We start from the raw sequence: 16,532 nt of genomic DNA, 5'->3' as shown, positions 1-16,532 counted from the left end.
CTCCTATGTGTGATATTTCTGGATCATTACTTCTCAAAGTTTATTATTATAATCACCTGGATGCTTGAAAGTGCAGAAATAGAGGTCTTACTTTAGACCTCCTGATTCAGAATGGGAGGTGCAGAGAGCAGCAATCTGGTGTTTAACAAGCAGCCTGGGTTGATAAGGCCACTAAAGTTTGGGATGTTTTTCTGTGATGTATCCATTTTTCCTGTAACTCACAGTTTAACACTTAACTGATAATCAGCCTTATATTACATTTGTTTGCCTCTAAATTCTGAAAGTAGCCCATTAAAGCATAGAAAACAGTGTAAAAGGGGCCCTTCTCCTTGGAAAAGTAGGGCACAAGTGGTTTTCAGAGTTACCCTGACATTTTCACAGCAAGAGGTCATTAGGCCCCATGCAGCCTCACCTTGATATTTCAGTGGGGCTGGAAAAAGCTTTCCCCTGTTGTTGGTCTTATACAGACAGCTTGGAGGCCCTTAACTTCACAATGATCAGAGGCGATAATGGTTAAAAGACAAAGTGAGCCAAAAGAGAGGGTATTGACAGGAAGCATGCCAGGTGACTTAATTGAATTTGGGCAATTCAGATGGGGTAGCTGGTTCTCATTTAGGAAATGCAGATTGAATAACCAGTTCTCTTGTTAAAGAGGGCGATGCAATTTGAGGAGCTCTGCATCAGGCACCGACGGGCCCAGCCAGTCCCCACATTGAGTTCTTGCCCCTACCCGTGCTCACCAGCACTTTAATTTACTTGAGATTTGCTTTTCCTTCCTCCTTTGAAAATTTCTAAAGTTCTATCATTATTTTTAATTTTATGGTACTCAGTTTCAAAATCAAGTAATATTCTAGTTTGTTGCAAGTACATTTTACAGTATTTATATTAATACTTATTTTATCCATTATTTTTCCATTAAAAAAAATATATATATATTTTGAGACAGGGTTTCTCTCTCTCACCCAGGCTGGAATCCAGTGGCATGATCATAGCTCACTGCAGCCTCAACCTCCTGGGCTCAAGCAGTCCTCCCACCTCAGCCTCCCAAAGTGATGGGATTACAGGCGTGAGCCAGGCCTCTCTTTTCTTTTCTAGCCTCCTTTTAAGATAGTAATGATGTCTTAATGTCATTTTAACCTAAGACTCAAATTTGGGGAGTTTGGTTCTTTTGAGAAAGGAAGAATTTGCTGTGATTTCTCTGCTCGTATCATACCTCCAAAAACCTTTTGGAAATAGATTATACTGTTTTAAATAAGTACATAATTATAACAGCTAATGTTTACTGTGCACCAAGCACTGTTCTAAATGCTTTATAATTTAATTTTTATTTACCATAATAGCAGGAGTTAGGCTCCCCCATTTTGCACATGAGGAAATTGAGGCACAGAGCCACTTATGTGATTTTGCTCGGGGCTCACAGCTTAGAACAGAGCAAAGAATGGACATCAGCCTCTGCCCTTCTCCACCACTGTGTGCTACCACCCCAAAAGAATCTTAGCTGCGGAGAAACCAGACATCAAAGTCCCACTGAGGATTTGTGATATTTCTGATGAAGAAGATATTTTCTCCCATCCTAGGGGAACGGATTGCAGGGCTTAGGTGAAGAAAACTGTAGCACTAACTTGCTACTGATTTATGTGAAAAGATAAATTGGCACCAGACAGGGAAATCCCTGGCTTTAGGTGATCTTGGGGAGTTTACCTGGGGGATAAAGCTTGTGAGATCTCTACAAAGTGAGATGCATTTTATTGTATAGAAAGTGATGTTTTGATCCCTAAGTTTTCTGGAGCCAGTAGATATCAGGAAATCTGACTTAGCCTTTTGACATTCAAATCCATCTTGAATGAGAATGGCAATGTGGCTTGAGACAGGAGCATCAATTCATCCAGGTCTTCAGGTCAGCAGTATGACCCCTTCTTGCCTTTCAGTTTTAACTATTCCATGACTTCAATAACATGGGAAAATACATGATTATTCTTTCTCAAAAGAAACTAAAAATGTTTCAGTGAAATTACAAGGCAACAAGGGACCATGGGGATAATGATTGTGTTTGAAATAAGGTCTCAGAGCCAGTACAACAGGAGTCCCTCGGCATAAAATAACAAGATTACACTCCAGAAATATCTCAATCCATTAACCCTCCATCAGTTTAGTCCAAAGAGATTCTTACAAGGCCCTGATGATCCTTCGAAGCACCACTCAGCTAGAGTTTTAGTTCAGAGACAAGGCTGTACCCCAAATGTCAGCTCTAGTCCACTCTTGATTGTCTTAATTAATAAAAACTTTGTGAGGACTAAGCCCATGAGTCACAGGCCCAAACCTACTTAGTGCTTCTCCAATTATGTGTGGAGATGGATTTTTTTCTTAAAAGACTGCAACCTATAGACTAATACATTTGTAAAATACTATAAAAATAACTTACTAGAAAAATGAAATAAAGATATTGTTTTAGTCTGTTTTCTATTGCTTATAACAAAATACCTGGAGTTGGTTAATTTGTAAGACATTAAATGTATTTCCTTCAGTTCTGGAGGCTGGGAAGTCCAAGGTCAAGGGGGTGCATCTGGTGAGAACCTTCTTGTTGTTCAAGACTCTCTGAAGGGTCCTTAGGTGGCACAGGGTATCACATGGAGAGAGAGCTGAGTGTGCTAGCTCAAGTCTCTCTTCCTCTTCTTATAAAGCCACCAGTCCCACTCCTATGATAACCTGTTAATGTATTAATCCATGAATCATCTCTCAAAGGCCCCATCTCTCCATACTGCCACACTGGGAATTTCAACATGAGTTGTGGACAGGACAAAAACCATAGCAGATATACAGAATAGAAGCACAAATATTTAATTATTAGATTACACAGGCATAAAATTACATTTCAAAAAATATCAGAATGCACATAATTAGAAGAAAGGAAAGAATTACAAATCTGTGCATGTGGGTCATGGAAAGTGTGGTGGTTAATATCATATATAGGTGGTTAATATCATGTACACAAATGCAGCAACGTCACATTGCTATCATCATTTTTAGATACTCTCAACTTCAGTGTTTATGTCTTCAGGGACCTGTAATCAACAGTTCATGGACTGGCAATGATCACCTAAGAGTTAATGGGACTCCATTCTTAGCCTTCAGTGCCCTTAAACATCCAGGCTCCTAGAAGTTTCTTGGGAAACCAGATGTCTTTGATACAATAAGCCAAGACTCTAAGAATAATGTGCTTTACATTAATTCAAACCATTTATCAGAGGAATATGAGAGCAGATGCTGTATTTTAGAATTCAGACATGGAGTTATTGATCAAAGAAGAAATTAAGACTTATGGTTATTATAGTAAAGGGCAGGAGGGATGGGGGCAGCAGTGCTTGGAGTCCTGGATAACCCATTCAGCTCTATCTACAATAATGGAAGTCAGGGAGTGTTGGCAGGATCAGTGTCTGCTGATTAGGTCTACTCTTGGCTCCTCTGGTGAGGATTTGTTTTATTTTGATGGGCATAAGGGAGGCTCTGCGCATGGAACCTCCACCACATGCATTGGTGCTACTGCTTAGGAAGAGGGAGTGATCCTCCTGCCTCAGTCCTTGAGGCCCCCAAGCCTCATTGCAATCCCGGGAATCTGTCATCTTCACCTGTCTATTCAGATCCAATCCCCACCCTCTTTCTCCCCTACCCCCATTTACCAAAATCTGAACTGTTGCGTAGTCAGTCCCTATTGGCATGCACCCCACAGTGAGCCAAATGCATATTAATGAATAAACTGACACGTGGTCCAAATTACATGCTACACAAATTGTAGCAACTTTGCTTGTGTCTAATATCAGCATTGCGCACATAATGACAAAATCATACATTGAGATAGTTTCTAAATAGCGCCTTGCATGTGAATGTTGAATATTTTCAATGCTTTTATTCTTATTTAAAAAAATATCTTTTTGGGAAAAATATAAATTAGCAAAAAGAAGAAATTCATCTAAGTCAGTACTTGTATAGAACTAAATCATTCTTTTCCATAGCTTCATGGTATTTCATTGTATAGATTTACCAAAATGATGGTAACCATTGCTTTTGATGGACATTTGGTTACATATTCAAATTTTTTTCACTTTACATCGTAAACATTTTCCCACATCACTAAATATTCTTCTACCCTAGTGTCTTTAATGACTGAATACTTGCATGGTATTCTATTGTATGGATATAATGCTAAATTCAATCAGTACCATATAATTACTTTTCTCCCAAACTTCTGCTGTTATCAATAGTGTTACTGCTGATACCGTTGTAAATCTATCTTTGTCTGCCTTCATAAGTATTTCTTGGGTTAAGTTCTTAGCCTTGTAGCCCTGGATCAAAGGGCATGCAATATTCTGGGGCCTTCCTGAAGCCTTGCCATATTGCCCAAGTTGAAATATCATGTGGGAGGTGGAAAGAGCTTGAAGTGTGGAGAAAGACAGGCCTTGATCCTAATCTTTGCTCTGCCACTTACCAAGCTGGGTGACCTTTGCCAAAAACTGATATTCTCTGAGCCTCAATTTCCTTGTATAGCAAAAGGATGAAAGTAAAAGCATTTACTTCGTAGGACGGTTTTGGGACTCAGATAAAATCATGCATTTTGAGCCTTCTGTGGGAAGCAGCCTTCCCCTTGGTCATTTTGGAATGGTGTACAAGCAAGGATGCATTTTTAATTCAGTCTGCCTTCTCCATCAACTTTTACACGCATCTCAGAACCCGGGCACCACTCCATAGAACATTTTAGCCAGGGAGGAGAGGGCGTGGGGGCTGGAATTTCAAAGGCATGTAGAACTGGTCTAGCTCTCTTATAATGTGAACAAAATTTCCACAAACAAATGGTTACTAGATAAAAAGGGTTTGGGATTGGAGTCTTTTGAGGGCTGTGTCCCCTGCTCTAAAGTGTGGGGCCTCGGAGTTGTGTGTTTTTGCTGCTTGGTGAACAGGATGACAATGTCTGGTTCTGAAATCCCAGGAGCTGAGGGAAGCCCCTTTTTGCCCAGTTCCTGTTCTCCGAGGGTTTTTTGTGAAGTGAGCCTAGGAGCTAAGAAGAGAGAGAGAAATGAGGTCTGCTGATCCCCAGCAAAACTACATGCACCTCCCTTTCATCTGTTTTGGTTGAAAACCTACGAAGGTTAAAATAGAGAAAACCTTCAGGGCAGGCAAGCTATATGTGGTTAGCTTTGTGTGGGAACCTGAGTCCTGGAGACTGCCCTGACTTTTGCAGCAGGCACATTTGTATGTTTGGATTTTCCAGAAGGGATAAATCACACAAACAGAGCACCTTGGGAATCCTTCAGGGAGTCCTGTTTGGCCCCAGCCCCCTTCTGTTAAACACACACCCCATTCTCCAGGCTGTGGAGAGTGGTTCAAACACTGCCCTTGTCTGAAGAGCTTTCTCTGGAAAACTCATTCTTGGAGAGAACTTTCTTTGTGTAATAGTTCAGCCTTTTAGACTAAACAGACGAGAAAATAGTGAAGTACAGAAAAAAAGGAGTTCCTCCTGGTAAACAGGGGAAGAGTTCCTTTGGGTTTGGTATCCTCTGCCTCTCTGATTGTTGCATGCCATGTTCACAGTGGTACCCCAGCCAAGACAGATACTGAGAAACAGATCCTCTTTTCCACTATGTCTTGTTTTCTCATTGCTTGGATGGTGTTGCAAGCCTGTCTGGCCTCCAAGTGCACATCTTGTCCTCTTCGGGCCCCAACACAGGCCTGTGATATTTAGCCTGCAGAGCAGCATTCGTTTAAAATCAAAGCTTTGAAGGTTGATCTGGTTTGAGAGCAACCCCGAAGCATGAGATTCTTTGACATGTGGGCCCCTTGGGGCTGTGCGGAAAGAGGAGAGTCCAGTTTTCCCAGGATGAGCCTGGAGTGAGGTTGAAGGATAGTCTCCTCATTTATGGGCCTAGCTCTGAAACCAAAGGAAGGACAATTGCCCCAACCTCCATCCCCATCCTACCTCCAGTCAGGCTGGTCTGCAGTGCACACATCCTGCTTTTATTACAGGGTGCATTTCACTTACAGACCCTTCCACCCCAGCCACCCCACCCCCACCTACACCCCCCTGAAATGAGCTCCCCATTCCATTAAGGTGGATGACAGCACCCTCCCAGGGTTAAGCTTCCAATGGAGGAGGGAGAGAATGTTGGACCAGCAATTTCGGAAGACAGTTAAAAGATTAGATAGTAAATTTACTTAACAGAGACTAATCACCTGGGACTGGGTTTCATATCCTGTTTTGAAATAATGTATTTTCTTTTGTGCTCTGGTCTGAATCTGTCATCCCTCCTCTAATAATGAGAGGCAGTGGATTTTTAATCTTTGACCTTCTTCCATATAATCTAATCACATGGTTTTCTGATCCTTCTCTCCTTATGTGGTGAAGTTCTGGAAAGAAAAAGAACTCATTTCTCAGGCATTGCTGGGCTATTCTCCATTGCTATAAGGGGCTGAGTTGACAGGTAGAATCAGGTTCTGCCTGTTAGATGTTCACCTCTAGGCCCTTAAAATCAAAGGGTGGAGGAGGAGAAAGAAAAGAAAGGAAAGCCCAAGGCTCTTAGGTCTGAATCAGATGAATGAAGGGTGGCAATTGGAAACTACAATAAAACATTCACAACATCTGTTTCATACCAGTGCAGCGTAGAGAGCTGTGAGTCACAAAATGGGAGCAGTCATAGGTGAGGCAATTTCTGAGTGTAATAGCACTAGAAATGAGACCTTAGGTAATCCTCCAATTGTCTGCACATGGAAACTTCTACGCACTTAGCAGCTTTATCTTCACTTTCAAACTGGGAGGTCCTGGGTGTCTTTCCTTCCTCTTGGGTTTGGCTCATAGGCGGGATGCCTGGGGTGCCTGACCCTAGGCAACCCCTCCAGAAGTCTTCCCTCTGTGTGGGATTGTCAGATGAGGTGTCTCTTCAGACTCCTTGACTTTGGGAGTTGCCCCAACAGGAGTCCTGCAGGCTGGGAGGTTGGATTCAGTTCTAACTAGAAATGGGAGCGAGAGGACAGAGGAATGCCTTCACTTCACCTCCTGCCCATCTCCCTATTGATGTAATTGTTGCTTGATTGGCAGAAGAGGTGTAGACAAGATCTGTAGCCCCTCCCTCTTCACCTTTTCCATCTCTGAGGGCTCAGGGACACTTTAGATACAGCCATGTCTTTTGGCTGCTTAGCCAGAGTTCTCTAAGTTGAAAGCAACAAAACACACTCAAATTTAGTTAACTTAAAAAAAAAAGCATTTATTGAAAGACTATGGGGTGGGGCATCTAGAATCAAAGGGAAGGTTGAAAAACAAGGCTTGCAGATCATCTTCAGAAGGTATTGAGAGCAGCAATTGCTCAACAGTCAGACCCAGGCATCAGCGCTAGTGAACAGATGCCACTTACCCTCGGTCTTTTGTGCCCTTTGTCTGTAATTCAAATGTCATGGAGGGAGAACCTCACTGACCCAGCTTGGGTCATGCATTTGGTCAGAGCAAGGTAGGGCATCTGGATTGATAGTCCTACCAGATTGTACCCAGGGAAAGGAAGTTCCTCAAAAGGTAATAGGAGGATGTGCTTTTACCCAAAGAAGATGAAGACAATGGTAGGTTAGCCATAAGGCCAGCACATTTCTGCCAAACATCCACAAATCCATGTCTCACTGGAGTCTGACCTTGCTGAGTAGGTCTTGCGATGGGGCAGGCAGAGCAATCCAAAAGAGATGGCAGGAGAAACTGATGGTGCTCTCTTCTCTTGCCTCCTTCCCTTCACACTGTGCCACTGTCGTTACCACTCCTACACCCATCCCCCCATCATTATCAGAATGGGCAGATTGACTCCCAGAAGTTAAACTTTTGGGTTGAGGTTATTTCATTTCTTATGAATCTCCCAGGTTCTAATCGTCACTTGTCTTCATTAACTTCCCTCCTGGGCCCCTTTGTTCCCCACTGAGGACCTCCCCCAACCCCTCCCCCAAATTCACAGCTGAGATAAATAATTCAGAGGTAAAATAAATGTCCAGCCCCCACCCCAGCTCTGTGTAATTACCTCCCTGGTGTGTGTTGGCTTCGCCCTTATGGGAAATGTGAGAAGGGAAACGGGTCCTTTTAGCCTGTGAATGGTGCTTTATTATTTTGATGCATGAATGCAGAAGGAATAAGAGACAAAATAAAGTTAATAATACATTGCAGTGTAGATAATTCATCACTTAAATCAATAGGAACTGCAGGTCACTGAACTGGAACTGGTGTTACTGTGATCCAAACATGGAATTAATAATTGAAACTACACTGATCTGTCTTCCTGGAATGGGAAGACAGACAACCCCAGGGATAGATGCACACAGCACAGGAGGAACAAGGCAATAGAGATAGACAGATGATTCATTTAATTCCTGCAGCTGTCACATACAGTAAATATGAAAATCTGCTTTCTATCTGGAATCAGCTTCATTTGGGAGCGAGGCTAGTTGAATTATACTCTCAGCTCTGTGTTTATTTTTTTCATTTATTGCAGGAATTTTAAATGATGGTTAGCATGGAATGCTATGTTCTCTGAGGTTGAAAAGGCTCTCTAGCAACAACTAGGCAGTGGTATGCATAGCATCTGTGGCCCCATTAGCTCTTACACACCCACCTGAAAATTGTGGGTACTCAGTCTCCCAGGAAGTTTGGCTCTGCAGCCACATTGAGAACGATTGAATCAGTGACCTGTAGTTTGCAAAAGAGTGTATCAGAAGAGTCAAGAAAGTGGACTCAGGGAGCTCCCAAGTGGAACAACCTTGGGCAAGTTACATAGTCTCTCTGAGCCTCAGTTTCCCTCCCTATAAAAGTAGGTAATGACAGCACCTACCTCATAAGAGTGCTTGAGGGCTGAGTGAGATCATGAATGAAAGCACTGAGAATCACAGCTGGCTCCTGGTATCCAGCGGTGCCTGCATTACTCTCAGAGGTCATGGAGCTACTGGGCCAGGGTAAGGGTGAAGTTGGTGGTTTATGGAGAGAGATTTAGTGTTGTTTAAAATCGACACTCCCTGCTTTGGCTTTTACAGGGATAGAGTTGATCGTAGAAGTTAATCTCTGTACTGCTCCCTTCCTCTTGCAGGAGATGGGTGGGAGTGAGATCAGGACGCCCACCCGTAGCTCTGGATGCATGGCAAAAGTAGTAACTCCATTTGGAGGTAGGGATTGGGCACAGTTAAATTGTTCTGCCTAATGAAACGGAAGGAGGTGGAGTGAGGAACAGGTTTCTAGAGGACTTCTGGGGAGGGAAGCAAAGGGGAAAATCCAGGGAAGAATGTAAGAAACAGAATCCTACAGAAAAAAGTGGCTGAATTTTTTTAGAACAAAGATGCTTAAAATTTATTTTTAAATCTCCTTCCTTCTATACAACCTTCACGTGAGCCTGCATCCTGTGGGTGTGTGCCTGTGTGTCAGTGTGGGTGTCTGTGTAGGTATATAGATACGTGCCCATGTGTGGCTGTGTCTGTGCAGATGTCTCTGTGTAGGGGTGTCTATGTGGATGTCTGTGTGTGTGGGGGGGTGTCTGTATGTTCACAAATGAAGGAAAAGGGGTTGGATTTCCTGGCTGGACTGACATGGTCCAGAACAGGACAGCATACGTGAGACTGGCCCTGATGATGTATGCACTGATGGATTTCAGCAGAAGTAGGATTTCAGAAGCAGAGTTCACTAGGAAAAGCCCCAGTCCTTGCCCTACCACATGCTCTGGAGAGCCCGGTGGCTGCAGGGCTTCCTGGGCAGGTGAGGTGAGTCTTGCGTCCACTTTACTTGCTCCTCCACCTCCACCTGTGTAGGCTGTGGAGGGACTGGCTGGGGACATCATCTGCCAGGTATAGGAAGGCACCATGTCCAGGAAGTCCCTTTCTACATTCAGCTGCATTTTTGCTCAGTAGGGGGGTCTGTGTGCCCCTTGTGGTAACTTTTCTACCTGCCTGGAGCACCAGTCTGAGGATGCTGTGGTTATGTGTGGTCGATCTTGGGAGCGAGAATGGTGATAGACCAGCCCCTGAGCTTAGGGAGGAAGTCCAGCAAATGAACAGGGTTTCTAGAAGGACCACTTGCAGTCCTTTCCCCATTCTCCGGGGTGTGCTAATATGTGGAAGGCCAGGGCCACCTCCTCTGGGGATTTCCTGAACCCCCTGCAGCAGTTGGGATCAGATGCATGGGAGTTAGACAGTCAGGGTATTTTGGAGGAGAGGTTGGCATGGCTGAGAGCCTTTTCGGCAGAGGACCTGGGGCAGAGTTGGTGGGTGACAGCCCCTCCCTAAAGAGAGAAGTGACCACATTCTGAACTGGTGTCTTTAAAGGGCCACCCCTCCTCTTCTCTCAAGATGATTCCAGAGCCCAAAAGCCTCTTCTAAGAGGAAAAGTTCTACGGATCTTAGAACTTTTGGAAGGAATACAGTAGTCTATTAAATGCAGGCCTTTGGATCTAAAGCCACAGTGATATGAAAATCTGTGCAGTCAAATGTACCCTTGAAAACCCCTTCAGTCACCCTTAAATCTCTAGAAACTGGTCTCTTCAAAATTCAGAAGCCAAACAGGAACTTACTTTTTAAAAGTCTGTTTTCTTTTGGGATCTGGCCTTTCCTGGAGTGGTAGAGGCCACAATCTAGTTTGAACTGGAAAGATAATGGGGTCAACAAAGAATGTTTATCTTCTTGCTGAGCAATATAGTTGAGTTTCATGAGTCAGATGCCCTTAGTGATGTGACTTCAGTAGAGTGTGAAGCAGGAGAAGGCAGTGAACCAAGAGGCAAGAGAACTTACTGGGTGGTCCAACAACGCTGCAAAGTAGTTGTGTGACCTTGAACAAGACGCTGCACCTCTCTGGATATAATTTTTCAAACTTCAGAACAAACTCTGAAAATATTTAGATGGGTAGGTAGATAGGTAGGTGGAGAGAGAGAGAGATGCCAGCTTCTTAAGAAATGTGTAATTTAGTGTTCCAAACAACACGAGAATGAGATGATTTCATAATTATGGTTTTCTAGTTACCCGTATTTTTCATGAGAGCTCCATTAGCAAGGAATCCAACTTTTCCCCCTTGACATTGTTGAATTGCATTATAAATGTCCAGAATTTATATACAAAGTGTTAAGCATATCCCATTTCAGGATTGAAATTAGCTAATATTTAAGACGTCTTCCTTGTCAATTAAGAACAATTCTTCCTAACAGTGAGGTAGGCATGGTGTGAGTCCTGATTAGTGGTTGCTCAGGGCTAGGTAGGAGGAAGAGGGTATAGGAGTTTGTGGCTAAGGGATATGGGGCTTCTTTTTGAAGTAATGAAAACTGTCTAATATTGACGACAGTGATGGTTGCACACATCTGTGTATATACTAAAACCACTGAATTCTGTCCTTTAAATGGATGAATTACAAGCCGTGTAAATTTTATCTCAATAAGGCAGTTTAAAATTTTTCAGTGAAGGCCAGGCATGGTGGCTCACGCCTATAATCCTAGCACTTTGGAGGCTGAGGCAGGTGAATCACCTGAGATCGGAGTTCAAGACCAGCCTGGCCAACATGGCAAAACCCCGTCTCAACTAAAAATAGAAAAATGAGCTGGGTGTGGCAGTGAGCACCTGTAATCCCAGCTACTCAGGAGGCTGAGGTAGGAGAATCGCTTGAACCCGGGAGGCAGAGGTTGCAGTGAGCCGAGATAGCACCACTGCACTCCAGCCTGGGCAAAAAGAGTGAAACTCTGTCTCCAAAATAATAATAATAATAATTAAAATTTTCAATGAAAAAGAGGGAAAAAAAGTTATTTCTAGATGGTTTTGCTTCTGTGCATGGGTCAGAAGCCAGCAGTTAGAAAACTGTAGTTATATTCATGGCTGTCATGGAAACAAGGCATGGGGGACTGGTCTTTGTCCCATTATTGCCTTTGGGCTCTTCAAGGACAAGCTGGAGCTTAACATACTGAAGTTGGAAAGAATTTCAGAGGTCATCTAAGGAAAGACTGTGCCAGCTACTCTCAGCATTTTGCTTAGCCAAACACTTCATCTCTGCTTTTACCAGGAACTTACACCTAAAGAGGAAAAGAATCCATGTGGGGGATATCTGTGGCACGGCCTGGGGGGACGGAAGGACTGGGGAAAGAATGCATTTGACCTGCGAACAGAAGGAGAGAGTAGAGTGACAACAGCTGCCTTGAAGTGTGGATGAAATGTTACATGCTTCTCACACCCAATGTGAGGCAACAAGCAAACTCTGAGTTAAAACAGGCAAAGACAGGTATGAGTCTAGAGAAGACAGCAAGAGGAAGGAAGGAAAGGAATCTGACAGGCATGGAACCTTCATCAGGATTTCATTCCACACTGAGTGCTTCCCAGTGGCCATCTCGTGTCATCCCTGCCTCGGCCCTACCTCAAAGGTAATATGCCATTTTCACAGATAAGAAAACCAAGGCTCAGAGGTGTGATGTAACTTTTCAGAGCCACTCAGTTGACAAGTGGGGAAACTGAGATTCAAGCATAAGATCTAGGGAGTCCTCACCAAGGTGGCCCTAAAGCAATCCTAGGAAAAGGGTCCGCCATAATCCACCCAGTTGCTCCAGCCAAAAACCTAAGACTCTTTCTTTTCTGATTTCTCTCTTCACACACACACACACACACACACACACACACACACACACATGTTGTCCTGCAGCTAGCCATCAACAAGCCAGGTTGAATCTAACTCCTTACCTGATCCCTCAAGGTCGTGCTTCTACCTGGCTTCACCTACCCTGCCCAACCTCATCCTGCACCATTCTCTGCCTGGTGCTTCCTCTTTCCCCAGTCCACTGGGAGGACAACTGTGCTTGCTCTGCCTCTGCCTCTGCCTGGATGCCTCTCCAGGTCTTCTCACTGGAGCCCTCCCCTTCAGGTCTCAGCTCAAGAGTCATCACCTCCCCAGAGGGACCTTCCTCGCAGCCCTGTGTAATATGGCCTCCTCCAAATACTTCCCATCACCATGACTACATAACAACTTTTTTACAGAAATTATTTTTTGCAGTTTATCTACATGTAGTCTTATGTGTTCCCTATTTCCCTAACTATAACCTAAGTCCATTGAACTCTCTCGCTCCCCGAGGTAGCCTCAGAACCTAGAAGGTAGCCCTGGAGCCTAAAAGGTGGTAGCTCCAGAGCCTTGCTCATGGAATATGCTCAAGGGAGGGAGGGTGAGAGAGAAGGTGGAAAGGTTTTCCCTCAGAAGAAAGAGAATCAAAGCAGACATTTCTATGGAGCAGAGGGCTCTGGGATGCTCTGGTTTTCGGCTTACTTGCTGTGGACATCTGCACATCTTTCTTATGCATTTGTCTCTACAGATATTTATTGAATGTTTTTTATTAAAAACAAAATCCACTTCTCAATGATTGAAGACAGATATCCTGGGACTCAGGAAATATGTATGCTAAAGTTTACATTTGACCATGAGGTGCAGTTATGAAGTCTGTTTCGGGATTGGGAGTGGGAAGGGGCAGATCAACTAGGAAAAGAAAAAAATCAGATGTATTTCAGTTTATACTAGGTACAACCATGTAGAAAGACAGCGAAATGAAGGAAATGATTCCTGCAATGGGGTACAGTGGAACCTCTGGTCCCTGCATGGTGCAGTGGAAGCTCCCACCACCTGGCCATGTTGTCCTCAGACTAGATCCACCCAACCTCTCACATGTGTAATGCAGGCATAAAGCATGAAAACCACGTGTCCACAGTTGGGACAACTGGTCTGTCACAGTGATCTCAGGTGATTCATGCATGGTGACGCTGAAGATGATGATAATAGGGCAATGGTCACTAGATGGTGCACACTTGAAATATGCTAATAGCGTACTTTCCTTGCATACATCTCATTTAGCCTCATTTGTACAATTTCTCCACACACATACACTCCACAAGATGGGAAACTTGCCTTCTTTACTATGAATCACCAACATCTAGAGTAACATCTGGCCTGTGGATGATGTTTAGGAATGAATTGTTGGGCAGATGGATAAAGAAGATGGGTCCACCAGCATGCAAGCTCTTCATGGAGGGGACTTGTCTGATTTACCACCACAAAGCTGATGCCTGCAAAATGCCTGGCATAAAATAAGTCCTCCATAAATATTTGCTGAATAAATGACTCTCCATTTCACAGATAAAGAAACTGAGGTCCAAAGATATTACATACCCTGCCCAAGGTAACATAGCCAGGAAGTGATGAAATGGTGATGATCTGGGCTCTTTATAGTAAGAAAAAGAGGATCTTTCTGGTTTCAGGGTGGGAGTAGGAAACTACATAGAATAGGGCAGGGGCAGGAGTGAGTTTGAGATACCCCACAACAAATGCCATAACTTGCTATGACAGCTGTAAGCAATATAATCTGTGGCCATAAAACAGCCCAGTGCTGGACTCCTGCACAAATCTGCCTTGGAACTGTCATACACTGTTTTAGTTCAGAGGAGCTGTTTGTTTTTTGTTTTGTCTTTGTTTTTTTTTTTTTTTTATTTGAGACAGAGTTTCACTTTTGTCGCCCAGGCTGGAGTGCAGTGGCGCTATCTCAGCTCACTGCAACCTCCGCCTGCGGGGTTCAAGCAATTATCTTGCCCCAGCCTCCCGCGTAGCTGGGACTACAGGCATGTGCCACCACGCTTGGCTATTTTTGTATTTTTAGTAGAGATGGGGTTTCACCATGTTGGCCAGGCTGGTCTTGAACTCCTGACTTCAGGTGATCCGCCTGCCTCAGCCTCCCAAAGTGCTAGGATTACAGGTGTCAGCCACCACGCCTGGCCTTGTCTTTGCTGTTTTTTGTTTGTTTGTTTGTTTAGACAGAGTCTCTCTCTGTTGCCCAGGCTGGAGTGCAGTGGCACGATCTCAGCTCACTGCAAACTCCGCCTCCTGGGTTCACACTATTCTCCTGCCTCAGCCTCCCGAATAGCTGGGACTACAGGCGCCTGCCACCACACCCGGCTAATTTTTTGTATTTTCAGTAGAGAAGGGGTTTCACCGTGTTAGCCAAGATGGTCTCGATCTCCTGACCTCATGATCCACCGGCCTCGGCCTCCCAAAGTGCTGGCGTTACAGGCGGGAGCCACTGCGCCCAGCCTTGTCTTTGCTTCTTAAAGGATGATGAGGAAGAAATTAGCTAAGCTTGCTGTTAATGAATCTTCCATCCCCATGAGAATGTTAGTTTTGAGAGCCCCAAAGTGAACCTGAGCCAAGTGTTCCCTTCCCGCTCTCCAGGAGCTGGGGCTGCTATAGGGGAAGAAAGCAAGTTCATGGAAACTGCACCTGTCACCAACAAATTCAAGGTGTCTCGTTCCCATTTATCAAGCTGTCAGCTCCTAACCTGTCAGAAAACCATCTAGATGTGTTTATCAGCCAGATTGAGCGGAGCAGCCCCATCCGGTTGCTTTTCTTGTTGATAGCTTTATGGCTGTTTTCAGGATGACCTGCAAGGGAGGGATTCTCTTCCTGCTGCTCTTTCCCTCAACAGGAGAAAAACAAAAACAAAGTCCTGCAATTTGGGGTAATGTAGATGTCAACAACAGAACCGCCTGTGGCCAAGGATTGCACAGGTTAGCTTTGTCTATTTTCGTCCAGTTAAACGCTGACTCCCGGGCAGTAGGCAGCTCAAAGTACAACATGTCAACTGAGGAGAAAATTAAAGCCAAAAACCTCTGCATAATTTATTCATCACAACCTAAAATTGACTCCCTGCTTGTCTGCATTCAGGTTGAGGCTCATTTAACTGCCTCCACTGTGTCTGTTTAAAGAGAAAATAGAGGAATTGGCTCAGTGGGGTAAGATAAACCAAACACAAAAACGCCCAACAGTTCTTTCATTTTACTCCTCACGTGACTTTGTTCCTCTCTGCTGGTTAAGATGAGAATGACTCTACATCAAAATGATTAATTATTATTATTACTTCAAGTTTGGTGTATCTTGCGGGGGAAAAATAATCTGGAATTTTTTCTGAACAAAACTCCTCCAGACCAAGTTGGAGGAAACTGCACCTATCACCAACAAATAGGCTTTGCCCTATTCGTAGACTCCACCTGGGTTTCCTTCTGCTTCTGAAGTCATCAGTGCACAGTAGACATTGTCAACATTTTATAGATGAAGATCAGAGAGGTACAGTAACTTACTCAAGGTCACACGGCTAGAAAGAGTCAGAGCTAAGACAGACCTAAGTCTGTCTGAGTCAAAGCCTTTAAATTTTCCTGAGTTTCATGTAGATCATGCTCAGTAGGGCAAAGACCTACAGAGGTGTGTAGCCAAGACAGTGTGAAGTTAGGAGATGAATTTGGTAAACAAGAGAGGATACTCTTAGCTTTAGAAGACCAGTTTTGGTTGACAGGTGAGGTGGGAGGCAGATTGCTACTGGATGAGCATGTTAAGTTTTATGTCATGTCTCCCCAGTGAGATTTTAAGCTCCTTGAAGACAGGTGCTTTCTAAGGGTATACACAAGTTCATAGGAGGATTCCCTTTGTAATGAACCCAACAGGGCCAGATACAAAGACACCTTCCAAAGTTGGCAGCGAGACT

The 16,532-nt window shown here is 44.0% G+C and overlaps 1 protein-coding gene across 3 annotated transcripts in view, besides 1 other annotated feature; it reads left to right on the top strand.

Annotated features, from left to right (window-relative positions):
- The window catches only part of SLIT3 (slit guidance ligand 3), a 639,400-nt gene that overhangs the window by 316,151 nt on the left and 306,717 nt on the right, over positions 1-16,532 (top strand). The window lies entirely within an intron of this gene.
- Positions 163-744: an enhancer, noted in NCBI's record as "OCT4-NANOG-H3K4me1 hESC enhancer chr5:168411250-168411831 (GRCh37/hg19 assembly coordinates)". NCBI's record gives its function as "activates a minimal SCP1, AML or CMV promoter by ChIP-STARR-seq in naive H9 embryonic stem cells {active_cell/tissue: H9 hESC(naive)}" and the evidence as "EXISTENCE:reporter gene assay evidence [ECO:0000049][PMID:30033119]".

The sequence above is a fragment of the Homo sapiens genome, chromosome 5 (assembly GCF_000001405.40).
Source record: "Homo sapiens chromosome 5, GRCh38.p14 Primary Assembly".
In the NCBI taxonomy this organism is placed as follows: Eukaryota; Metazoa; Chordata; class Mammalia; order Primates; family Hominidae; genus Homo; species Homo sapiens.
Note: the sequence above shows the minus strand (reverse complement) of the source record. Positions and strands in the feature narration are given on the sequence as shown.